This window comes from Homo sapiens, chromosome 18 (assembly GCF_000001405.40).
Source record: "Homo sapiens chromosome 18, GRCh38.p14 Primary Assembly".
NCBI lineage: Eukaryota > Metazoa > Chordata > Mammalia > Primates > Hominidae > Homo > Homo sapiens.
In genome coordinates, this window is record NC_000018.10 from 50,904,500 (window position 1) to 50,931,018 (window position 26,519).

The 26,519-nt window shown below is 38.1% G+C and overlaps 1 protein-coding gene across 3 annotated transcripts in view; it reads left to right on the top strand.

Moving 5' to 3' along the window:
* Nucleotides 1-26,519, top strand: part of ME2 (malic enzyme 2) — a 75,140-nt gene that overhangs the window by 25,382 nt on the left and 23,239 nt on the right. For all 3 annotated transcript variants that reach the window (NR_174094.1, NM_002396.5, NM_001168335.2), the window contains exons 3-12: nt 3,564-3,697; nt 8,302-8,451; nt 11,669-11,744; nt 12,848-13,009; nt 13,611-13,714; nt 15,957-16,066; nt 16,162-16,259; nt 16,575-16,688; nt 19,599-19,713; nt 21,257-21,399. Coding sequence is in view for 2 of the 3 variants with exons in the window: in NM_002396.5 (NP_002387.1) it covers nt 3,564-3,697; nt 8,302-8,451; nt 11,669-11,744; nt 12,848-13,009; nt 13,611-13,714; nt 15,957-16,066; nt 16,162-16,259; nt 16,575-16,688; nt 19,599-19,713; nt 21,257-21,399 (1,206 nt within the window). In the remaining variant the exon portion in view is untranslated. The remainder of the gene's footprint in view (nt 1-3,563; nt 3,698-8,301; nt 8,452-11,668; nt 11,745-12,847; nt 13,010-13,610; nt 13,715-15,956; nt 16,067-16,161; nt 16,260-16,574; nt 16,689-19,598; nt 19,714-21,256; nt 21,400-26,519) is intronic.

Genomic DNA, 26,519 nt, shown 5'->3' on the forward strand with positions numbered 1-26,519 from the left:
TCTCAGAACTCCTGACCTTGTGATCCGCCTGCCTCCGCCTCCCACAGTGTTGGGATTACAGGCGTGAGCCACCACGCCCAGCCTAATTTTATATTTTTAGTAGAGATGAAGTTTCTCCATGTTGGTCAGGCTGGTCTCAAACTCCTGACCTCAGGTGATCCACCTGCTTCAGCCTCCCAAAGTGCTGGGATTACAGGCATGAGCCACTGCGCCTGGCCGACATTATTTCTTTAGAGAAGTATGGTAATGCATTTAGACTATGCTCCATCTGCAAACTTGTTTTTCTCTTTGTCTAGGTGTAGATCTCTTTTGAGTTTATAATACTTGGAGTTGTTGAGCTTACTGGATGTGTGGATTAATGTTTCTCATATTTGGGAAGTTTTGGGGCATTATCTCTTGAAATATTATTCTGCTTCTTTCTCTCCTCTCCTCAAACTTCATTATGCATATGTTGGCATACTTGATGGTGTCTTACAGATCTCTGAGATTCTGTTCATCTTTTTTTTGAGACGGAATCTCCCTCTGTCACCAGGCTGGAGTGCGGTGGCACGATCTTGGCTCACTGCAGCCTCCGCCTCCCGGGTTCAAGCAATTCTCCTGCCTCAGCCTCTCGAGTAGCTGGGACTACAGGCACATGCCACCACACTCAGCTAATTTTTGTATTTTTAGTAGAGATGGGGTTTTACCATGTTGGCCAGGATGGTCTTGATCTTTTGACCTCATGAACCACCCACCTAAGGCTCCCAAAGTGCTGGGATTAGAGGCGTGAGCCACCGCACCTGGCAGTTCATATTTCTTTATTCTTTTTTCTTTCTATCTTAGACTAGATAATCTTGGGTGACCTATTTTTAAGTTTGCTGATTCTTTCCCACTTGCTCAAATCTACTGTTGAACCCCTCTGGTAAATTTTTCATTTTCATTTATTGTACTGTTGATGAAAAGATTAAAACTCTGTAAAATATTTGAAGAGATTTATTCTGAGCCAAATATGAGTGACCATGGCCTGTGAAACAACCCCAGGAGATCCTGAAAATATGTACCCCAGGTTGTGGGGGCACAGCTTGGTTTTGTACATTTTAGAGACACATGAGACATCAAATACATTTAAGATACACATTGGTTCAGTCCAGAAAGGTGGGACAACTCGAAGTGGGGGCTTCCAGGTTATAGGCAGGTTTAAATTTTTTCTTATTGGCAGTTGGTTGAGTTATTATCAATAGAAATAAATGTCTGGATTATGATAGGAGGCTTTGGAGACCAGAGTTTCTTCATGCAGATGAAGCCTCCAGGTAACAGGCTTCAGAGAGAATAGATTGTAAATGTTTCTTATCAGGCTTAAGGTCTGTGTTGATGTTAATGCTGGAGGAGTATAGTGAGGCATGTCCGACCCCCCATGCCATCATAACCTAAACCAGCCTTTTCAGGTTAAATGTTAAGAGTGCCCTGGCCAAGGAGGAAGTCCATTCAGGTGGTTGGGAGACCTTAGAATTTTATTTTTGGTTTGCAGTACTTTCATTCCCAGAATTTCCATTTAATTTCTTTGTTGGTAGTCTCAATTTGGTGGGACATTATTCTCATACTTTCCTTTAGTTCTTTAGACATGGTGTCTTTTAAGTCTTTGAATGTATTCAAAGATGTGAATGTAAAGTCTTTATCTAGTAAGTACAATGTTTAGGCTTCCTCAAGGACAGTTTCATGATTTTTTGTTGAAAACTGGACATTTTAAATAAGGTAGCAGTTCAGGAAATCAAATACTCCTCCCAGGGTTTGTTGTATTGCTGCTACTTTTGCTTGTTTAGTGATATTTCCAAACTAATTCTTTTCTTTTTTTGAGATGGAGTATTGCTCTTTTGCCTAGGCTGGAGTACAGGGGCATGATCTTGGCTCACTGCAACTTCCACCTCCCAGGTTCAAGTGATTCTCCTGTCTCAGCCCCCCGAGTAGCTGGGACCACAGGCACATGCCACCACGCCCGGCTAATTTTTGTACTTTTAGTAGAGACAGGGTTTCACCATGTTGGCCAAGCTGGTCTCGAATTCCTGACCTCAGGTGATCCGCCCACCTTGGCCTCCCAAAGTGCTGGGATTACAGGCATGAGCCACCGTGCCTGGCCTCCAAACTATTCTTTATAAAGTCTGTATTCTTGTACATGCCCACTGAAGTCTCTGATTGGTTAGTTTTGTGGTCAGCTGATAATTAGACAAAGACTTAAATGCTTGGAACTAGTAAATTTCCCATTTTTTGCCAAGTGGCTCTGTGTGCATGTTGCGGCATACCTCCAGCACTGAACCAGGCAGTTTACAACTACCCAGAAGCCTTCACTTCCTTCTTGCACAGAGCCTTAAGGTTAGCCAGAGGTGTGAGCTAGGATCTTTTCAGGTCTTTCCTGGATGTGTCCACAGCTCATGTATGTGACCTTCTAGAGTCCCGGTAATACCTCATGGCTTTTGAAAGCTCCAACCCCATGGTCATCTCATTCTTTAGCTTTTCCTTGTGAGCTTTTTGTTACCCTGTTGTTTTTCTCAACTGTTATCCACTGCTTTGGGCAGCTGCTATGCTAAATTATTGCCTCTGATTGTTTCCAACAAGCACTTCTGGGGAAATGGCTTTTCAGATGGGGTGAGCGCCAAGTTAGGTCAAATGAAGATAGCCTTGCAAGTGGGGTCTTCCAGGGAACCACCAGACAGGTCAAATAATGACATTTTCCTGGAATAGGGCTTAGAAGAATCTCCAGCCCCTTCTTCCTGCCCTGGTGGCTTCCAGGCTGCTGATTTTCATAGTAATTGTGAGGTGTTAGTTTTCGATTTAAAACTCACAAAGCTTGTTGCTTACTGAAATCCAGCCATTTTTCCTGAATAACTGCTCCCTGATTGCTGCATTTCTTTGGTAAATTTCCAGAATGTTGAAGAAGTTGCTTCTGGTTATTTGTCCAGTGTTCTTGTTGCTTTTATGGAGGAAAAGATTTTCCAAAGGCCTTGCTCCAGCATTTTCATTGACATTGCTTTGATACGAAGAATTTAACCCATAGTCAAATGCCAGAAATTGAAAAAGATTTTCTTATGACATAGATTAATTTTTTCTTAAGCATCATTTCTTCTATCCCCTTTTAATGGTATTTCATGGTATGAATATACCATAGGATGCTTAACTCTTTCGTAGTTAATGGGCTTTTTGTTAGCTTGTAATATCCAAGAGAACTAGAAACAATGCTACAACTAAACTTTTTGTATATGCCTTTGTGTGCCATTAAGAATGTTTCTCTAGAATGGCTCCCTGGAAGTCAGATTGCTTGATGAATAATATGTATATAAAAAATTTAAGAATACTTTAAAACTGTCTTCCAAAGGCCTAAACTAGTTTATATTCCCAGCAGTGGTTTGTGAGAATAACTATTTTCCACACCCTGACCAATACTGACATCAGTCTTACAAAGTTTTGAAAGCCTGGGCAAAAATAATATGTCATTGATTTTTCAAATTTGCATTTAAATTATATTTTGAAGAACAATGTCATTGCTACCCCAGTAAGTAATAATTTTTAATCCTTTTATTTCTCCTCTTTAGGGAATGGCATTTACTTTACAAGAACGACAAATGCTTGGTCTTCAAGGACTTCTACCTCCCAAAATAGAGACACAAGATATTCAAGCCTTACGATTTCATAGAAACTTGAAGAAAATGACTAGCCCTTTGGAAAAGTAAGAGTTGCTTAGATGTTTCTTTTTTTATTGGTATTCTGATTAGAAAACTTATGAGCATTATGGTTATTATGGCATGAGAAATACACAATCTTATATAAGTTTGTGTTTTGTCAGTTAACTACTTTTATAAAGATTGTGTTTCTTTCACTTCGGTGAATACTTCACAAGTATTCACTATTGTAAAACTTAACAAATTAGTTTTTATGCTTACAGTCAGAGCAATTCAGGTTTGAATGGAATATTAGAAGCAAAGGATACCATCTAATTTGCACTCATTTTATTCAAAAACTTTTATTGATCACCTGCTTTGTGTTTGACACTGTACCAGCCACTGAGGCTATAAAGTGGGTAATAGATAGGATGACCATATATTATATCACCTAATCTAGGATACTTTGGAGAATAAAAAAGAGGTGTACCCAAAGCTACCCCTGGCAAACTTTTTTTGTTTCTTTTTTTGAGATGGAGTCTCGCTCTGTTGCCCAGGCTGGAGTGCAGTGGTGCGATCTCAGCTTACTGCAGTCTCCGCCTCCCAAGTTCAAGCAGTTCTCCTGCTTCAGCCTCCTGAGTAGTTGGGATTACAGGCGCCCACCACCATGCCTGGCTAATTTTTTTATTTGTAGTAGAGATGGAGTTTCACCATGTTGGCCAGGCTGGTGTCAAATTCCTGACCTCAGGTGATCCGCCCGCCTCAGCCTCCCAAAGTGCTGGGATTATAGGCATGAGCCACTGCGCCTGGACTTTTTCTTTTCTTTTCTTTTTTTTTTTTTTTGAGACAGGGTCTCACTCTGTTGCCCAGGCTGGAGTGCAGTGGCACAATTTCAGCTCACTGCAACCTCTGCCTCCCGGGCTCAAGCAGTTCTCCTACCTCAGCCTCTCAAGTAGCTGGGATTACAGGAGTGCACCACCACACCCGGCTAATTTTTGTAGTTTTTAGTAGAGACAGGGTTTAACCATATTGCCCATATTGCCCAGGCTGGTTTTGAACTCCTGGACTCAAGCAATCTGCCCGCCTTGGCCTCCCAAAGTGCTGGGATTACAGGCTTGAGCCACTGCACCAGGCAGCAAACTTAATATATATGACCAACCCAGTAACTCATAGCCCTGTCTTCTAAAAGTCATCAACAGACAGTTATGCTATGATTGTTATTGGTCTCTAGACCACAATGTACAGTACAATGAGAAAAAGGTACAAGCAGATATATTCTGAGAGCATGCAGAGGGCATCTAGCTCAACTTGGGGAATCAGATAAAAGCTTCCTGAAGGGAGTGATGCCTAAGCTGAATTGTAAACAGGATGTTACAGGTAGCAGGCAAAGTATTCTGGGTAGAGGGATCGGTCTGCATATAGAACTAAGCATATCAATTGAGTTTGTTAAGTATAGGAGATTATTGGTGACTGGTAAGAGTGGTTTCTTTGATGTGATAGAGCAAAAGAGATACTGTGATAGATTGAAAAATGAATGGAGGGGGAGGAAATGTAAACTACCCTTACAAGAAGTTCAGGTAAGGAGGGAAGGAAGATATTAAATAATAAGTAAAGTAAGACTTGGGATTAAGTATGTTTCAAGCTGGAAGAAAATTTAATGTTTCATCGTAGTTAGGAGGAATGAGCCCAGGAGAAAGGATAATTGTTAGAGCAAGGTCTAGGGAAAGGAAAAAGGCATAGGGTCAAATGCGGAGATAGAGTGGCTGGTCTTGAGCAAGAACAAAGAACAGCTCATTCTCCGAAGCTGGAATAAACATAAATACAGATAGTAAGGATAAGTATGGAGATGTTTGAGCAGAAGTAGTGAACTCTCAATCTTAACTGATGATCTTGCTTTCTTTTATGACATAGAATATGAAAGTCATCGCTCAGATTTAGAAGGGCCAGGGTTGAGTAGAGTTGGTGAGGAGAGTGAGAAATGCTTGGAAGAGCCATGTGGCTATAAGATAAAGCTGAACAAAAGCTAGGCTTGGTGGCTCATGCCTGTAATCCCAGCATTTTGGGAGGTCAAGGTGGGAGGATCACTTGAGCCCAGGAGTTCCAGACCAGCCTGGGCAACAGAGTGGGACCCTGTTTCTACAAAAAAAAAAAAAAAAAAAAAAAAGCCAGGCATGGTGTCGCATACCTATAGTTGCAGCAGCTCAGAAGACTGACGCAGGAGGATAACTTAAGCCCAGGAGGTCAAGGCTGCAGTGAGCCATGATTGCACCACTGCACTCCAGCCTGGGTGACAGAGTGAGACCCTGTCTCAGAAAAAAAAAAAAAAAAAGAAAAAGGCTAAACAAGAGCAGGTTAAAGGGGTGAGAGCAGACCCTGATGGCCTGGTGGCAAGATCTTGTTTGTATTGGTGCCATTCTGCACAGCAATGTTATTTTTCCATAGAAAAAATGAAATGTAACACTGATTCAGGCTTGGAGTTTGCTGGGCTGGCAAAGGCAGGTGTTACATAAATTCATTCAGTTAATATTCAGGACTGCTAATGTGCCTGGCATTGTTCTAAGCTTTGAAACTCCACAAATGAAAACACTCAGCCCTTCTCTTCAGAGAGTTCACTATCTCTGGTGGAAAGGCAGACACTGTGGAAGGGTAGTACAGTGATAAATCATGTGGGGATTCCTAAACAGTAATGACAGGGAGAGATTTGCTCAGAGTGAGAGATTTGATCCTGGGATTCAGAGCAGGAAATAAAGAGGATCCTGAAGGGAGCCCATAGAATTGGAAGAAAATGAAGCAGTCAAAGAGCTAGAGATCCCTCTGAAGGATGACGAAGTGAGGGCATCATATGGCTACCCAAAATGGTAGAGGATTGTGATCCAAGAGTGGATAAGGGCATTCACCATTGCTGAGCTATAATGATCCTAGGTGAGTGCTGCCCATCACTGAGGCACACAGAAGACTGACTAAAGTGAAATAAGGATTGAAAGTGGTAACATTGAGGAGATCCATGACTTGTAGAGCTTCCCTCTATCACATGCCTCATAGGTCATCTGTTCTTTCCTTAACATTACTTCCATCTCACAAAGCCATCCATTCCATTTTAGCAGCCCAGTTTGTTTACTTCCCTATACTGCAGAGAAGTCTTCTTCCCTTTAATTTCTATCTGTTGATACCATTTCTTCCACTATTAGCTATGTAGAAAATAAAATTGAAGGGATCACGTCTCCTCATTTATTCACCAAATATTTGCACACCAGTTATATGCCACATATTGCTATTAATAGTTCCTGGAACTATAGAAGTATATGAGGTGATCATTTCTAACTTATGGTATTGTCTAGACTGGAGGAAGCCAGAAAGTCAAGGAGTGGAGTGAGAGTTAACAGAGGGAAGTAGGCTATCATGGGACCTGAAAACAGGAAAGTCTAAAGCGTGTATGTATACATGATAGGGGAGGGGAGTGGACAGAAAAGGGCCCCCAGAGAGCACGCCACCTGAGCTGCATTTGGAGCGCACATGTATAGGACTATACCTGGAGAGAGTGCAGGCAAATGGTGCATCAAACGCAGCAAGTCCAGGTTGAGTTGTGATGCATTTGAGGAGCTGAAGTAAGTCAACATGAAGAAGATGAGGCTGAAAAGTAGGCAGAGGTTTTGTTAACTATTTTAGGAGCTTGAGCCTTATTTTACGATGATTTATTTGGAAGCGACTTAAGGAGAACAGAAATGATCACAGTTAGGTTTTTAAGAGAAGAATGAATTGGAGCGTAGGAGGAAATTGTATTTATAAAGACTGGTAAGAAGGCTTTTGAGGTAAATCAGCTGAGAAATGATGGTAGCTTGTACTGTGCAAGGGTGGAGGGAGCTAATGGATATATTTGAAAGCTACTTAGCAGGTAGACTCTGTAGGACTTGGTGATTTATAGGATTGGTGTTGGGGAGGGTAGGAGAGGAATAAATCAAGAATGGAATCTGGGTTTCGCATTTGGTCACGTGATAGCAGAAGAAACAAGGTCAGGGGAAAGATAAGTCTGCTTTAGACATATTTAATTCAAGATGATTACTGACTTTCAAGCTTTCAAGCTGATATTTCCCTGTTCTCTAAATTTAAAAACAAGTTATTTATATATTTATTGACATCAATTGACAATTGCCTTTTTTGTGCTGCTTCTGCACTCTGTGTAGACCTTATAATACTTCTAACGCTCCTGGGTTATAAACTCCTTGAAAATAGAGGTAACTTCTTATATCCCTGGAGAATAGTGCCAGGCATATAGTGTTAAGCAAATGTTTGAATTAATGCCACTTTATTTTGCTTCCTTGTTTATATGTCAGTCTCCTTGAAGACTGATTCTTTAAGCGTAAGGACCTCATGGTGATCTTTGCATTTCCAGTGCCTTCTACAGAGCCTGACCCACAGTTAGGGTTCAGTAAACATTGTTTCTATTGTTATTTCATCGTCATCATCATCTACTATTTAAGTACCCTCATATTTTTGTTAATTTTTAGTCCTGGGTGTTAAATAGTAATAATCTAAGGTTTTGGGTTTTTTTTAGAATGTGATGTGAGAATGGGGCTCAATTTCAATTTTAGACATTTAGGTTTAACTTTCATAAGCCAAGACTTTTAATGTAATGCAGGCTGACTTAGACATTATTTACTGTGCTTCATTTCAGATATATCTACATAATGGGAATACAAGAAAGAAATGAGAAATTGTTTTATAGAATACTGCAAGATGACATTGAGAGTTTAATGCCAATTGTATATACACCGACGGTTGGTCTTGCCTGCTCCCAGTATGGACACATCTTTAGAAGACCTAAGTAAGGCTTGTTTAAAAAAAAGCTTGTAAATGATTATTGAATAAGGAAAATATCATTCCATAACACCCATTACATTTCTATTTTATGTTTGTTAGCCAAATCACATTTCCCACCTCAGAAAAACGTAATTTTGATTAAAAGAGATTAACAAAATCCCAACATATTCATAACTTTTATCTTTGTAAAAATAGCATAATTCATTTCTAATCTTCTTTAAATTATTGTGATTGTTAGAGGAATTACATACATACTTCTGGAACCTGCTCCCCCACCAAAAAAAGTCTTAATTCTGGTGGGAGATTATCCAGAATTATCATTAAAATTTTTGTCAATAAAGTCAAATTAAGAGATTTTTTTTTCTCATTTTTTAATCAGTTTTAATTTGTTTTTGTTTTTGAGACAGAGTCTCACTTTGTCACCCAGGCTGGAGTGGAGTGCAGCAGTATGATCTTGGCTCACTGCAACCTCTGCCTCCCAGGTTCAAGTAATTCTTGTGCCTCAACCTCCCTAGTAGCTGGAATTACAGGTGCACGCCACCATGCCTGCTAATTTTTGTATTTTTAGTAGAGATGGGATTTCACCATGTTGGCTGGGCTGGTCTTGAACTCCTGACTCCAAGTGATCAGCCTGCCTCAGCCTCCCAAAGTGCTGGGATTTACAGGCGTGAGCCACTGCATCTGGCCTGTTCTCCTTTTTTTAATGAATTTTCATTCCAAATAGTTGTAGCACCTACAAACATTATAAGTGGGAAGAGTACTGAAATGGCAAGGACTGACTCAAGTTCTTGAATGAGTCGCGTGATCCCCATGAATGTGTTTCCTCATGTGTAAAATGGGAATAGCAGGACCTATCAAAGAGCTATTGGAGAAACCAATGTGACAGTTCTTTGGAAAATTATCAGCAATATTATACACACACACACACACACACACACACACACATATGCTGTTTTCACTTAATCTGAGTTTTCTTATTCCTCTAATCCATTATTATTTTTCTCAATCCTTATAATATTTTCCCCATGCCCAATTAACACATTCTTCCACGTGTAGAAATTCAGTCTCCTGTCGCCTTGTCTAGTGGCTTTCAAACTTTAATGTGTGTAAGAAATACCTGTGGGACTTACTCAAAATGTTGATCTCTGCCAACTTTCCTCTCCTCCCCATCCCCAAGATTTCTGATGAAAAAGAAAAAAGGTCTGGAGGTCCGGATTTTAGTGAGCACCCTCAGTGATTGTGTTGCAGGTGTTCCCTGGAAGACACTGAGAAACAGACTGTTCTAACCTAGATGCTGCCAACAATTACTGTAACTAAAACATTTCTGTGACATAACCATGCTGTTCAGCTATTTTATAGTTTCTTATTAGAATGATTAAAAGATAGAGAGAAACTTAGAAATACTGATGCCTGAGCCCCACCCCCAGAGATTCAGATTCAGTTAGTCTAGACTTAGGAGTTTCACAAAAGAGCCTGGTGTAATTCTGATGTATACCCAGAGTTGAGAACTGACTTGAAACATGAAGAGCATGGCTTATGTGTGAGGGCAAATACTGTATATTGTTTATGCAATGCATTGTGCTATGGGTTTTTTTTGTTGTTCATTTTGTTTTTGTAGATGGTCATTAAATCTTGATTGGTTGGTTGATTGATCTAAACTTTAAGCTAATTAAATCAGAATCTTTGGAGGTGGGACCCTGGCATTTTAAAGCTTATCAGATGATTCCATTATATAGCCAGATTGAGAAATTGCTGAACTAAACTGATTTGAACTGTAATAGTAGTGCCAAATTTAAGATACCAATGAGAAAGTTAAACCTAAGATCAGTTTGACAGCAATGAGGATCCACTGGCCCTCATGTCTGCCTGACCTGTGTTCTAGAACCTGCGTTTCTTCTTTTTTTCCTCCTTCTCTCCCTTCCTTCTTTGCTTTCTCTTTTGAAATCTGGATTGATTATCTGAATTAGGTAACAATATACTGTGTCTAAAATGACTTTTTGTTAGCCATTCCACAATTTATACATATTTCAAAACATGTTGTACATGATAAATACAGTTGACCCTTGAACAACACAGGTGTGAAGGTCCATTTATACTCAGATTTTCCTGTGCTTCTGCCACCCCTGAGACAGGAAGACCAACCCCTCCTCCTCCTCCTCCTCCTCCTCCTCTTTATGATTTTGTTAATAACATTTTCTTTTTTCTAGATTACTTTATTGTAAGAATACAGTATAGAATTCATATGGCATACAAAATAGTGTTAGTCAGCCAGGCACAGTGACTCATACCTTTAATCCTAACACTTTGGGAGGCTGAAGCGGGTGGATCACTTGAGGTCAGGAGTTCGAGACCAGCCTGGCCAACATGGCGAAACCCTATCTCTACTAAAAATACAAAAACTAGCCAGGCATGGTGGCGGGCATGTAAAATCCCATCTACTCTGGAGGCTGAGGCAGGAGAATTGCTTGAACCCTCGGTGGAGGGGCAGAGGTTGCAGCGAGCCGAGATCGTACCACTTCACTGCAGCATGGGTGAAAGAGCAAAACTCCAAGTCAAAAAAGAAAAAAAATTGTTAGTCAATCTGTGTGTTACTGGTAAGGCTTCTGGTCAGTAATAGGCCATTAGTAGTTAAGTTTTTGGAAAATCATATGTAAATTTTTGATTTGATTTTCTAACACCCACATTGTTCAAGGGTCAACTGTATATCCAATTTTTGCCAATTAAAAAATAATATTAAATAAGTAAAAGTAACTTCACTTTTTCCTGATGCTTCAGGTGTCTCATCTTTTGTGTGATTTTACTGTAATTTTCTTCTCTCCCTTCCTGCTCCTTCAAATTTCAAATTTTCAGTTTCAGTAAGTCTTAACAATAGTTTAGTTGGCCTTGTACTGCTCTCCTGCATTGGTGGCTTGCTTTAGATTTTTTTTTTTTTTCCTGGTGGTGTATTGAGTTTATTTGAACATGAGATGTGGTTACATTTCTTCTTGGGTAAAATGACTGTATCATTTAACAATAATCTTTGTTGCATCTGCTATGAACAGTAATTACAGTTTGAAGTACTTGAAAATGTTTGAAAATAAACCAGTGTGACTTAGCTAAATCTGCTTGGAAATTATACCATGTCTTGATATTTTATTAAAATATCAAAATATTTCAATTATGAACAAAAACTTAGAAACAAAGCTGTTGTGAAATGCAAAGGTGTTTTTGTTCTGTTGCAGGGGATTATTTATTTCGATCTCAGACAGAGGTCATGTTAGATCAATTGTGGATAACTGGCCAGAAAATCATGTTAAGGTACTAATAGCACAACCCTCCTTTTCACAATGTTTTCTCTTTTCTTGTAAATTACCTCTAAATCTCCAAGAACAGTTTTTCATTGTTGCTCTCATTTATTTTGCACTTATATACATGCAGATTTAGTGCTTTGCAGCTGAAGTGATGATAATAGTAGTAGTTATAAAATGGGCTACTGGTATAAAGTTTGACTCTGAGAAAGAAATTAGAGCTAGAATACAAGGTGAGCCCTCTCGGTATCAGCACCACTGGTGTCTCCTGCCTTCTCAATCTCCTTTTCTATTTCACTAATATTATTCTAGGTAAAGAAAATACATTAAAATGCCATAAAAACTTTTGTTTATGAATGGTGTTAGAGAAGTTTGGTTATGCCTTTTTTTCTTTTAAATCTAAGATTTAGAACCTTAGCAAATATAAAAATGTTAAATATAGCAAATATAAGCCCTGGCCTATTTAGTTATCTTTCATAAAATAAAATGTAATAACTTATTTCAAGATCTTTGGGTAGGCTTTTGTAAATTTTATTGTAGGCAATAATCTTACCTGCCTTTATACTCCTTTCCAAAATAAACATTGAATGATCGTTGGTTTGAATACTCTAGCAAAAATTTGGTCAAATAATTAAACTCACAGTATCATCTTAAGACCTTCCTTATAAGTAGGTATTTTTTTTGTTCTAGACCTTTTTCTTTTTCACAGTTGCTAAGGTTTTTTTTGTTTGGCCTAGGTTATTGTGTTGGAGTACCATGCTGTTTATTTCTAAACTCTTATTTTTCTCTTATGGTAATCTCTCCATCAGAATCTTGTTCATCTCTGCCATATTTAATCTTTCTGAAGATATTTAAGTTGGTCCTCTAGTCAGAAGAATTCTATTCCTAAACCGAAGTCAGAGGGAAATCAAATCTAGTTAATGTCTCATAATACTCAGAAGTCCTAGAATTTTAAGTATGCTTTGTTGGTTTACATTGGAAATTAGCCAAGAAACAATTTTATTTTTAAGAGCAAAGAGTAAATATATATGAAGTGAATCAATCTTTTAAAAAATGCTTTTCTTTAGTGCCCCATTTTTGACAACTTTTAATTTGCATTTTTTTGTGATTAAGGCTGTTGTAGTGACTGATGGAGAGAGAATTCTGGGTCTTGGAGATCTGGGTGTCTATGGAATGGGAATTCCAGTAGGAAAACTTTGTTTGTATACAGCTTGTGCAGGAATACGGCCTGATAGATGCCTGCCAGTGTGTATTGATGTGGGAACTGATAATATCGTGAGTAACATCATTTTCCCCCTTTATCTTCCTCCTGTATTTTTTAAAATGTGTACAATATTCCTTTTTTGAAAATGATAATTTAAGAAGGGAAAGTTTTATGATTAGATTTTTTTTTCTTAAACTCCACTTTTAATATTTATATAAATAATAGTAAATTAAGTCTATTAAAAGTTTCTTGGTCCGGGCATGGTGGCTCATACCTGTAATCCCAGGACATTGGAAGGCCGAGGCAGGCAGATCACCAAAAGTCAGGAGTTCGAGACCAGCCTGGCCAACATGGTGAAACCCAGACTCTACTAAAAATACAAAAAAAATTAGCTGGGCGTGGTGGCACATGCTTGTAATCCCAGCTACAAGGCTGAGGCAAGAGAATTGCTTGAATGCAAAAGACAGAGGTTGCAGTGAGCCGAGATCACACCATTGCACTCCAGCCTGGGTGACAAGAGTGAGACTGTCTCAAAAAAGAAAAAATAAAGTTTCTTGTAGGGCAATACATTTAAAAAATTGTATTAGTAATTTTTTATTTTGCAATTTTTATTGTATGTGTTTAAACTGATTATATAAATTATTTTATTTTTACATTTGGTTTATTTTGTAGGCACTCTTAAAAGACCCATTTTACATGGGCTTGTACCAGAAACGAGATCGCACACAACAGTATGATGACCTGATTGATGAGTTTATGAAAGCTATTACTGACAGGTATTTTTTAAAAGTTTGAGTATATGAAAGCACCTTTAATGGGGTGGGTGGGGTAAGAACCAAAGTTTTGTTTTGTTTTCCTTTATTTCTTTCCTGTGTAGATAAGCAGGAGGCGATTAAATTTTTGAGAACTTTGTTCTGCCTGGCTGTTTCTGCCTGATTAGATGTGCCGATATGAGGTGGTACCCATGGTCTGCCTTGCTTTCTTGAGTTACCTGACATTTTGAGGGAAGTCTGCCCTCACTGCTTCCATCAAACGCTTACTGCTCAGTACCTTTTTCAGCCTTGACCTTCAGGCTCACGCCCACCATTCCACTGAAGCTCTTGTGCAGCTTTTGTATTTTAAGTTCTCTGACCATTGGGTCCTCCCACTTCTCTACCTCTTTGCACCGTCAACTCAGGTTTTCCCACTTCTATGTCCTTGAAACTCTCTCTTCTCTTGACTGCTAAACAGCTTCCTCCTAACTTGGTCTTTCTCCCACCTTTCTCTTTTTTTTTTTTTTTGTCATCTTCACAGGTTCTTGCTGTCTCTTACTAAATGTGGATAACTACCTAGTCCTCTTCTCTTTCAGCCATGTCAACTATGACCTTTATGCATGTTACTACTAAACCCATAAAAACCCATCTGTAGTTCCACTGCTCTTGTGAGGCCTGCATTTCTAATAATCAGAATCTTCCATCTGGGTATTCTGTTATGAGTGCATATTCATATCCCACACTGAACTCCTTTCCTTTCCAAACAACCTATCTTCTGTATTCCCAGCTTCTATTATTGGCAGTAACATTCATCCTGTTGCCAAAACTTTGATCTTAGTGTTATCTTTGACTCTTCTGCCTTCTCCGTCAGTCAGATTTCAGATATTCCTCAAATTCAGTGGGTACTACCACTTAAATGTCTCCTGTTTTCCATTGCCGCAATCTTGCTCTCTCCTTATCTCTCTTCTGGAGTTTTCTAATTCTTCCTCCAGTTTCTCTCCTCTCCAGTTCGTCTCCACCTTAATACCAGATTAATTGTTTTGAAACGTGTGCTTCATTTTGTCATTCTTTTGCTTGAAATCTCTGATTGGTTTCCTATTGCCATAGGATAAAGTCAAACTCTTTTACCTTAATGATCTAACCCTGGCCTACCTTTAAAATTGCTGGCACGTAGAAGATATTTAAACATTAATTCCTTTTCAGAGTCAAAGTCAACAAGTCTAAAGCTGAACTTTACATCTTCTCAGAAATTGCCATCTCTCCTTCTTCCTCTCACTTTCCTATCTTGGACAACCAAATAGTACCTTCTTAGTTACCCCATTACCTTCACATTGTAACAGCTTCTTCCTCATTTCCCAGTTGATCCTTATCAATTTCTATTCATCCTAATAGTTCATAGTTACTCCTTTTGCTTCCTGCATCTTCTGCTTCAGATCTCTTGTCTTCGTATCATAGTAGCCTCCTAGTTGCTTCTGCCACTCCCGTCTCCCCACACCAATATGAGCTACGTATCACTGGCAGGTTTATCCTTCCTAAAGGGAGTCATATGTGAATATTTTCCTTTCTCTGCAGCCTTCACTGTTTCTACATGGGATGCAGAAGAAAGTCCCTCTTCTCTAATTTAGCATTCGAGATCCTCCCTTATTTGGTTCCAACCTGCATTAACCAATTTCTCCCTTATCTCTTAATGTAAACCATGAAATATATAGCCAGACTGTTGAAAATTCAGGGTCACCCTAATAACAGCCTGCTTTTCTTCCTAGCTCTTTACTTTTTGTTCTTTCAGGGCCCACCTCCTTTTCAAGCCTTCCCTTACTACTTGAGCTCACCTAGACGATTAACATCTTCTTTTTCTGAATGTCAGTGAACTCAAATAGCAATTATTTTTCAATTTCTTATTTAATATATACTTTCTTGTGTTGCTGTTTAACTATTAATGTAATGAGAATATACATATCAAATATATATTTTTTGAGGTTCAGAGTCAAAGGAAGTGTCCTCCTGGACACTTGAAAATAGTTTACATAGATTGATAGCCCATGGGTTTATCATTGTGCCACATTCTTTTTAAACACCTCATACTTTTTTTATTGAATAATTTCTACATTTTGGATCTAGTCTTTCACAGGCTCTGAAATTTTTCAGATGGCCTTAATTGAACTAACATAATACATTATTTTTGAATGCTATCATAGGGAATATTAGGTGGAAAGCTGTTTAATAGTGTTATTTTCAACACAACTATTGTGGGTTTTGCTGTTTTTAGATATGGCCGGAACACACTCATTCAGTTCGAAGACTTTGGAAATCATAATGCATTCAGGTTCTTGAGAAAGTACCGAGAAAAATATTGTACTTTCAATGATGATATTCAAGGTAAAGCAAAAAAACTTCAGGGTTTTGATTCCTACTTTTTAAACATTTTTAATGTGCCCATTTTTTATTTGTAAAAATCTTTGTTTTTCTTACAGGGACAGCTGCAGTAGCTCTAGCAGGTCTTCTTGCAGCACAAAAAGTTATTAGTAAACCAATCTCCGAACACAAAATCTTATTCCTTGGAGCAGGAGAGGTAAGTTTTGAAGGCTTTTTGAAACTTAAGCCTATCCTCTCTTATAGAATTAGAAAATGGGCAGAATATTGATGTTTATGAAAGAGCATAGTGAGCCTGTAATTTTGTTGAGGTAGAGGATATGAAATCAAGAGTTCTGCTGTAAAACATGTAATTTAAAATATGTTTCGAGAGAATATCACGAAGAATTTTTGTTTGATTTGTAAGGGAAAAATAAACCAAATATTTCTTATGGCATATAATCTTCATATATAAAGTAATTCAAGCATTGCATCGTACTCTAGTATATATTAAAATTTATGTTTTGTTGAACAGGCTGCTCTTGGAATTGCAAATCTTATAGTTATGTCTATGGTAGAAAATGGCCTGTCAGAACAAGAGGCACAAAAGAAAATCTGGATGTTTGACAAGTATGGTTTATTAGTTAAGGTAAGGTATTTAAAATTTGGAGAAGCAAAAGAGTGTATTATATTTTTAGTTGGATTTTTAAAATATTATTCCTTAAAATCTTGTTTCTCATTGGAGTCTCCAAATTATACCAATTGGGACCTTCCACTCTCTTTTCAACAGATGTCCCTAGTCTTGTTGTCTTTTACAAAGACTTCTGCTTCATATTGAATTAATAATCTCTATGTTGGCATCAGACTTACTCTTTCTTGCTTTGTTGTCTTGCTCTTAAGAGATCAAATGGCCATTGTACAAGTATGATCGTGTTTGACACTCCTAAAACTAGGTTTTTAGTAGGAACTGAGAACTTCCTAATTAAATTGCAGTATTGCAGTAGTTTTGATATTTGAGCAGAAATTCTTTTAATTTTATTATTATTTATTTTTTTTGAGATGAAGTCTCTCTCTGTCACCCAGGCTGGAGTGCAGTGGTGCGATGTCACCTCGCTGCAACTTCTGCCTCCTGGGTTCAAGCAATTCTCCTGCCTGAGCCTCCCGAGGCTACCGTGCCTGGCCGTGAGCAGAAATTCTTAACCCTTTGGAGATCATAATCCCCTGAAGAAATCTAATAAAAATCTGTGGACCCTATCCCCAGGAAAAAAGCATGTGCTCCTGAAACCAATTTATGGATAATAAAGAGCTTATCTCCCAGATTAACTTAGTACCTTTGGGCCTGACTACCTTTGTTAGCATTGATTACCATTTTCACTAGCTTAAGAATGTCATATATCTTCTGTGTAACACATTGAATATAAGTAAACTGTTCCATAGTTAAACCAATCCAGTACACAATGCTGTTATATTTTTGTATGTACACATTAAAATATAATGGTATAGCTGTCGCTTGGCATTTATGTCTGTGGAGCAAGCTATCTAAATGTACTTTGTTCCAGTTCTAAAATCTTTTCTTGTTAATTAGAACCAGTATTCTATTAGTACAAAAAATAAAATGAAAAGTTAAAGTATGTGAATGAAAAATCTTGAGTGCTCAAACTACATGTAATTTAAAATGTAATAGTAGTTATATACCAGACATTGTTATAAGACTTTACATGTATTATCTCCTTTAATCATCTCAAAAAATCCTGTGAAGTTTTACAAATGAAGAAACAGTTTAAAAGGTCGAGGGAGTTTTCCAAAGTCATCAGCTTATAAGTGACGGAGGTAGGATTCAAAACCAAGTATCCTGACTGCGAAGCCTGTGCTCTGAATAATTAAACTGTGCTGCCTCCCAAAGAGGCTGTAACTACCATATTTACTAGTATGTAAGGCACAAGGATAAAACATCACATATTTAGAAGGCTATTGGGGGATGTATGTTTTGACTAGTACACAGTTAGTTTGGTACTTCTTTTTGTAATGTTGGTTTTCATCAAATATGTTGTGATTCTTTAGCATATTGGTAGGTCAGGTCTAACACAGTATTGGTAGCTACAATGTGTTTACTTAGCACAAAGTGAGAACCCTGTCCATCTCCATATTCATCATCAGATTATATATTTCTTTTCCAGTGTGCAGGTAGCTTGGCCTATGGGCATTAGGCTTCCAGTGTCTCCTGGTGATCCTAAACACTGCCCTTCATTTTGAAACTTTGAAAACAGTGGCTTCTTATGTCACTGTTTGCTCAGCCTGGTTTTCTCAGCCGATTGATGATAGTGTCCTGCTTTACTAACCCCTGCAGTTTCTTATCTGGAGTTATCTTGGAGTTCTGATGGAAATACACTTTTTCAGAAGTCTTCTTTTTTACCAAAATAAGAATATGAGTTCTCAGTTGGTTTTTGCATTCAGTATGTTTTTGTCTGCCTTAAATCTTTGAGAAATTCTTCATTGTTCTAGTCTGTCAGTGGTATCTCTTCTGGCTTTGTGGCATTACTACAAATTTAACTTTTATGGTTTTTGACCTGGGATTTGGAAAGGAAAGCATGTTTCTTCATTCAGCCATCTTTAACCAGAATTCCCTGTTCCTCTTGTTTCTGAACTCTTGGTAGTGCAAGTCCATGGTGTCTGTCTGCAATTCTGAAATCCTAAAGGCTTTGAAATTCCAAAATTTTTTCCAAAATTTATTTTTGTGACCAATCTGATTGCCTTGAATTTACCTAGAAGCGAAACCTGACTCAAACTAATAAGAAGCTCTTTGTAATCTTAACCTTTTGTACTTGATGTGACTATTCATAAGTTTGTTCAGTTGTGGAGTATCTGTTGGGAGGGAGAATATGTAATATTTGATATACGCCATATTGTATTTCTAAAATATGAAAAATTCTCAGCCAGGAGTGGTGGCTCATGCATGTGGTGGCTCAGCTTCCCACTTTGGGAAGCTGAGGTGGACGGATCACTTGAGCCCAGGAGTTTGAGACCAGCCTGGGCAAGATGGCAAAACCCCATCTCTACAAAAAAATCATCCGGGCATGGTGGTGTGTGCCCATAGTTCCAGCTACTCTGGAGGCTGAGGTGGGAGGATCACCTGAGCCCGGGGAGGTAGAGGCTGCCACTGCACTCAAGTCTGGGCGACAGAGTGATACCCCATTTCAAAATAAATAAATCAAATTAAATTAAATATGAAAATTTCTTAATTCCAAAACTCATCTACCCCAGATAAAGGACTGTAGGCTTTTGTGCCACATTGGACTTAGGAAGACCTCATAGTGTAAATGCATTTTTGAGAGGAACTAGAAAGTTTCTAGGAATAATGGTAGATTTGATTTTTGTTTTATATTTGAGTTTATGGACATGATGAAGATAGAGTTGGAAGGTATGGGTTGAAGAGGAAAGTAAATGAAAATGAAAAGACATTTCTATTGTAGAAACAATGTGTAACTCATAATGATGTCTTTTTATTTCATCTTTAATATGCATTGACTAAAAAAATACTGTATTTTATCTCAAAATTTAGGGACGGAAAGCAAAAATAGATAGTTATCAGGAACCATTTACTCACTCAGCCCCAGAGAGCATACCTGATACTTTTGAAGATGCAGTGAATATACTGAAGCCTTCAACTATAATTGGTAGGTAAAGTTTTTCTGATAAATAATTTTACTCCCTAACTGTATGTTGCCAGTCATCATTACCATGTAGGATTACTAAAAATGAATTGGCAGTTTTACCTAGCTTTCAGCATGTACAATGTTTTCTGTGATAACTTTTTGGTTACCATGCATGAAATTCAGTTACCAGATGTTGCTTTATACTTTTAGGTCCTAGACACTGTGTAGTCGATCATGATTTGCTTTTAGAGTTGGTATGACTGTTGGACTCAAAACATGAAAAAAACCAAAGCCATTTGCAGATTTTACCAGGAAAATTCTATGCAGACTCAAAGTTTTCGTGGGCAACAAAGCTGAAAACTTTGAGTGTGTTTTGAATCAGGCATTGCATAGATGCCATCAGACTATGTCATCATGGCATTACATTCTCAGCAGAAAATGTAAAAGTGTTTAAAAGAGGAGCTATTTAATTTGCTGTATAGCTGTAAGTTTTTTTGTTTTCTTGTTTTTTGTTTTTTTTTTTGAGACAGAGTCTCACTCTGTCACTCAAGCTGGAGTTGGCTCACTGCAACTTCCACCTCCCGGGTTCAAGCAATTCTCTTGCCCCAGCCTCCCAAGTAGCTGGGATTACAGGTACCCGCCACCACGCCCAGCTAATTTTTGTAATTTTAGTAGAGATGGGGTTTCACCATGTTGACCAGGCTGGTCTTGAACTCCTGACCTCAGGTGATCCACCTGCCTCGGCGGGTGAGACTCCATCTCAAAAAATAAATAAATAAAAATAAACAACCCCCCATTTTCCCCACTCCCCACCCCCTAACAACCACCATTCTACTTTTTGTCTCTATGAATTTAACTACCTCATATAAATGGAATGACATGGTATTTTTCTCTTTGTGACTGGCTAATTTTATTTAGCATAATGTCAAGTTTCATCCATGTGGTAGCAAGTTTTATCTTCCCAATTAGAGTGATGAAGATAGTCATATACTCTTTTTAAAAATTGGTTGGGCATGGTGGCTCACACCTGTAATTCCAGCACTCTGGGAGGCCGAGGCAGGCGGATCACCTGAGGTCAGGAGTTTGAGACTAGCCTGGCCAACATGGCAAAACCCCATCTCTACTAAAAATACAAAAATTAGCCGGGCGTGGTGGCACACACCTTTAATCCCAGCTACCTGGGAAGGTGAGGCACGAGAATCACTTGAACCCAGGAGGGAGAGGTTGCAGTGAGCTGAGATTGTGCCACTACACTCCAGTCTGGGCGACAGAGCGAGACTCTGTCTCAAAAAACAAAAAGTTAAAAGAATAAAATTTCCCATAATTTACTATGTGTATAGTAGACAATAAATATTTAAGTGAGAACTTTCAGCATCTTACTGTTTTTTCTTTTCAGATTTGAGATTGTGTTCTCATAGATTTTGCATTGCTGAGATAGTGCTATCTTTGTAATGAGATATTACCTGTGTTTTTATTATTGTAGGCCTATTGTAGAAATGCTATTGATAAGCATTGCTTTTATACCTATAATGAAGTTGCTGTTTTTCCCCCTTACTTATTACAGGAGTTGCAGGTGCTGGCCGTCTTTTCACTCCTGATGTAATCAGAGCCATGGCCTCTATCAATGAAAGGCCTGTAATATTTGCATTAAGTAATCCTACAGCACAGGCAGAGTGCACGGCTGAAGAAGCATATACACTTACAGAGGTATTAATAATCACATGAATTGATATGTATATTATTTTCCCTCCACTAGCTTATTAGTTATACATTCTTACACCATTGTTCTAATGGTTTCCCTAGAGATTACAGCATGCATCTATGGGTGATCAAAGTCTGATATTAATTATTGCTTATACCAATTATGGGAAACAGGTACTTTATAACTCCACTGTAATGCCCTCACACTGTTTGCACTATTGTTGTGAATTTTAATTTTCTATGTATTTTAAACTCAAAATACATTATTGTTATATTTTACAAAAATTATTCAGATTTACCTACACTTTAATTTATTTATCACTATTCTTCCTGCAAGTGCTTCTACCTAGGATCATTTTCCTTCTACCAGAAGAATTCCTTTATTTAAGTGTAGGTCTAATGAATTCTCTTGGTAATTTATTTTGCCTTCATTTTGAAGGATATTTTCACTCTGCATAGACGTAAAAGTTGGTAAATACTTGAGCATTTTGAAGATATCATTTTACTGTTTTCTGACTTTTGTTTTCTTTTTGATGATATAGCATTGTCTTAGGTTTTTAACAGTTTGACTATGGCGGACATATGCGTGGTTTTCTTTGTATTTATTCCACATGGGGATTATACTGCTCCTGAATCTATGGCTTGATGTCTGTTTTTGGTTTTTGTTTTTTCTGTTTTGAAAAAATATCAGCCAGTATCTCTACTTTGGCCACATTGTCTCTCTCATCTTATGGGACTCTAATTATATGGTTAGAGATATATCTCATTTATCTTTTACACTGTTTTCTATATTTACTATCTCTCTTGCTTTCTGTGTTTCAATCTGGTGATTTCCTTTGGCCCTATTTTCCAGTTTGCAGATTCTCTGTTCAGCTGTGCTCATCTGTTGTTAGGTTCTTAATTTTAGTTGCTGTATTTTTTCATTTGTAGAATTTGTGTTTTATCTGTATAGTAATTTATTAATTTAGTAACAGACTTAAAATCATGTACTGTAGAAATAATCAATCTCTAAATACTGCTTTCTTGTACTCACATTTCATGAAACTTTTTACTCTCTTCAAATGCATCTTCACCATCAGTGTTTGTCTTTTCTAAGGCTGTTTTTTTTGAGTCATCTGGCGCTGTGGAGAACAAATTTTTATTTACATCCGAACTGTTTAAGATTCACTACTTTTAGATCTTTGACACTACCACGGGATTATAGCCCAATTACAAATATCTGCCTATAAATCACTTGACATTTGGGTTTTTTTCCTACCATTCTGTAAGGATGTAGTTGTAATCTCCACAATTACTTTCTATATTGTTGTGGTAAGTGATCTAAGTGGCTCTAGGAAGTGATTTTTAAAGGCTTGTTTACAATGATGTCTAGCAGCTATAATTGCTAGACTACATCCTTGAGAGTAAGTAATAAATCTGATACATTTTTTTAATCTTCACTCCTTTAAAACAACGTTTTTTATAGTAGAAAAGTATTACAGTGTATCTCTCAAAAGCTAAGGATTCTTTTAAAAATATAACCACAGGGCCGGGCACGGTGGCTCACGCCTGTAATCCCAGCACTTTGGGAGGCTGAGGTGGGCAGATCACGAGGTCAGGAGATCGAGACCATCCTGGCTAACATAGTGAAACCCCGTCTCTACTAAAAATACAAAAAAAATTAGCCAGATGTGGTGGCGGGTGCCTTTAGTCCCAGCTGCTGGGGAGGCTGAGGCAGGAGAATGGTGTGAACCCACGAGGCGGAGCTTGCATTGAGCCGAGATCGCACCACTGCACTCCAGCCTGGGTGACAGAGCAAGACTCCATCTCAAAAAAAACCCCAAAAAACCATATATATATATATATATATATATATATATACACACCACAGTACTGTTATACCTCATAATTTGAACAATAATTATATCTTGTCATTTAATTTTTTTTTTTTTTTTTTTTTTGAGACAGGGTCTCTCTTGGTTGCCCAGGCTGGAGTGTAGTGGCACAGTCATAGCTCACTGCAGACTCCAATTCCTGGCTCAAGTAATCCTCTTGCCTCAGCTTCCTCAGTAGCTGGGACTACAGGCAAATACCACCACACCCAGCTAATTTTTTAATTTTTATTTTTGTAGAGACAAGGTCTTGCTTTGTTGGCCAGGCTGGTCTCAAATTGCTGACCTCAAGTGATCCCCTGCCTCAGCCTCCCAAAGTGCTGGGATTACAGACATGAGCCACTGTGCCCCACCTAATTTCTTGAATATGTGAATTGCAATTAAAATTTTCTGATGGTAACAAATATCTCACTCATTTTTATTATCTATCTTTTGTTCTGTCTTGGTTATCAGGTTTGTTTGTAAGGCTAATTTGTCCTTTTTTTTTTCTTTTTTTTTTTGAGATGAAGCGTCACTGTGTTGCCCAGGCTAGAGTGCAGTGGCGTCATCTCACCTCACTGCAAACTCTGCCTCCCAGGTTCACATCATTCTCCTGCCTCAGCCTCCCGAGTAGCTGGGTGCCCGCCACCATGCCCGGCTAATTTTTTTGTATTTTTAGTAGATATGGGGTTTTACCATGTTAGCCAGGATGGTCTCGATTTCCTGACCTTGTGATCCGCCCGCCTCGGCCTCCCAAAGTGCTGGGATTACAGGCATGAGCCACTGCGCCCGGACTGTTTTTGTTTTTCTTAATTGAGTGATGGATAGTGTAGAAAAAGAACTATAGCAATAATTTAAGGCTGTGGATAAAGTTATTTTTGGAGAAAGGGACTTTACTTTTTCAAGTAGATCGCCATAATCCAGTCAGGATGTGGTCCACATGAGGCCTGGGGTATTTCCAGTTTGCCCTTTCTCCTGATATCCACCCCTTTGGGTATGAATCATCAAAAGTCCTGAGGTATTTATCAGCACCTCTCATCCTTAACGGTCCCTGAACATCCATTTTCCTCTCTGTCATCATGAGACTTTGGGTGGCTTTGCTGTTCAGGGTCTCAGTCACAGCTTTTGATTTGGAAATCAGCAGTCATCTTGAGGGGAAGAGCTTCAAATGCTAGGCTCATATATCTTGCTTCCCTCTTCTTTTGAATCTTGGAAACCTCTCTTCCCCAACACCAAACTCTCACTATCTTGTTAGGTCTCTGCTTGCTTACAAAAATTTTTAAAAATGTATTTTATCTGGTTTTTTAAATTGTAACCAGAGGAAAATTTGGTATGAAACAACCCAGAAAATCATTGCCAAAGCAGAACTCTCAGAACTTCCTGAACTTAATATTCATACTTTTGATATATTTGGCATTCTTTTTTTTTTTTTTCCCATTGTTAAACACTGTGTAGGCCAGGCACAGTGGTTCATGCCTGTAATCCCAGCACTTTGGAATGCCAAGGTGGGCAGACCACTTGAGGCCAGGAGTTCAAGATCTGCCTGGCCAACTAAAAATACAGGTGAAACCCTGTCTCTACTAAAAATACAAAAAAATTAGCCAGGTGTGGTGGCTCACACCTGTAGTCCCAGCTACTCAGGAGGCTGAGGCTGGAGAATAGTCTGAACCCAGGAGGCAGAGGCTGTGTGAGCCAAGATCGTGCCACTGCACTCCAGCCTGGGCAACAGAGCAAGACTGTCTCAAAAAAAAAAAAAAAACCAACAAAAAAACAACCTTTATGTTGACACATGTATTCTCTCAAAATTCCTTTTTGACCTTTTTGACCACTCCATTAGTCAAAATAAATTCTCATGACTGTTAGTTTCCAATTGATATAATAATTATTGAAATCTCTTCTTCTAAATCAATCACAAAATCACCATACAGATATTTAAAAATTAGTCTCTTTAGTATACTGTCTTATCTTTTTATTACTTTTAGCTTGATTGCCTGTCCTCTTCACCAGGTTTTACTACTTAAAACTAATGGTTATTGTTCCCCAAATTAAATCTTAGTCTTCTACAATGACTCTTGGGTAAATATATTAAATGCATCATGGATCGTTGACATTTCCAAAATATAAAAAATTTAAGTGTTTCGAGTAGTAGTGGTATATCACCAGAAGACTGCTCATTTAAGAATTTTGTTTTTTGTATAAATATTATTGTAATAAATGTACTTTATTGGAATAAATAAAAATTCCCCAAGGAGACTAGTTTGATATACTATATTTCATCAGTTTTAAGATCAAGGATTGCTTGAGCCCATGAGTTTGAGACCAGCCTAGGCAACGTAGCGAAACCCTGTCTGTATAAAAAATTTAAAAATTAGCCAAGCATGGTGGCGCACACCTGTGGTCTTAGCTACTTGGGAGGCTGAGGTGGGAGGATTGCTTGAGCCCAGGAGGTTGAGGCTGCAGTGAGCTGTGATCGTGCCACTGAACTCCAGCCTGGGCAACAGAATGAGACCCCGTCTCAAAAATAAATAAATAAAAAGAGCATGGTGTCATAGTTTACTTTTACATAAATTCTTTCTTAGTGTTACATGAAATAATGGCATAGAATTTTGACTAGTCGTCACCTGTTAAATTTTTAGTCCCATTTTGTTTTCACCAGGGAGGTGTTACTCCAACACCGTTTGCTGCTCAGCGAGAAAAATACTCTAAAAAAAAATCTTCATAGTTGAATTGCCAGCTGCTTACATAGACCAAGTTGGACTTCAGAATAAGAATATACTATTATCATTAAAATCTGGCCACGTTTAAGCCATGGATTAATTATTGAGTTAAATGGGCAGGGAGGCAGGGATGGTGACCTGGAGAACGTGAACTGCTATAGAATCTTGTCATTATTGAAGAGATTCCCAAGATCTTTCTAAATTTCCAAACTTACTGATACCATGAGAACATTTTTTCCATGATGTGCTATATTGTATAATCTACCTTATAAGACTATTAAAATTAATGGTGCCAGAAAAATAATTATGTACTTATTGTGATAACATGTATGACATTAACCATGAACTAACCTTAATCATCAAAGAAACAAAATTTTTAGTCACAAGTAATGTTTAGAACAGATAGATAATTGTAATAGCTATCCATAGAATAGGTAGAAAATGATATAACAATATAGAGTTGCAAGTCTAAGATAGTCAGCTCTGCCCTACTAGCATAGTTAGCTTGCTTCTACTCTTAAACCTTGTATCATTTTGAAATGGAAAGTATGTCTTGTAA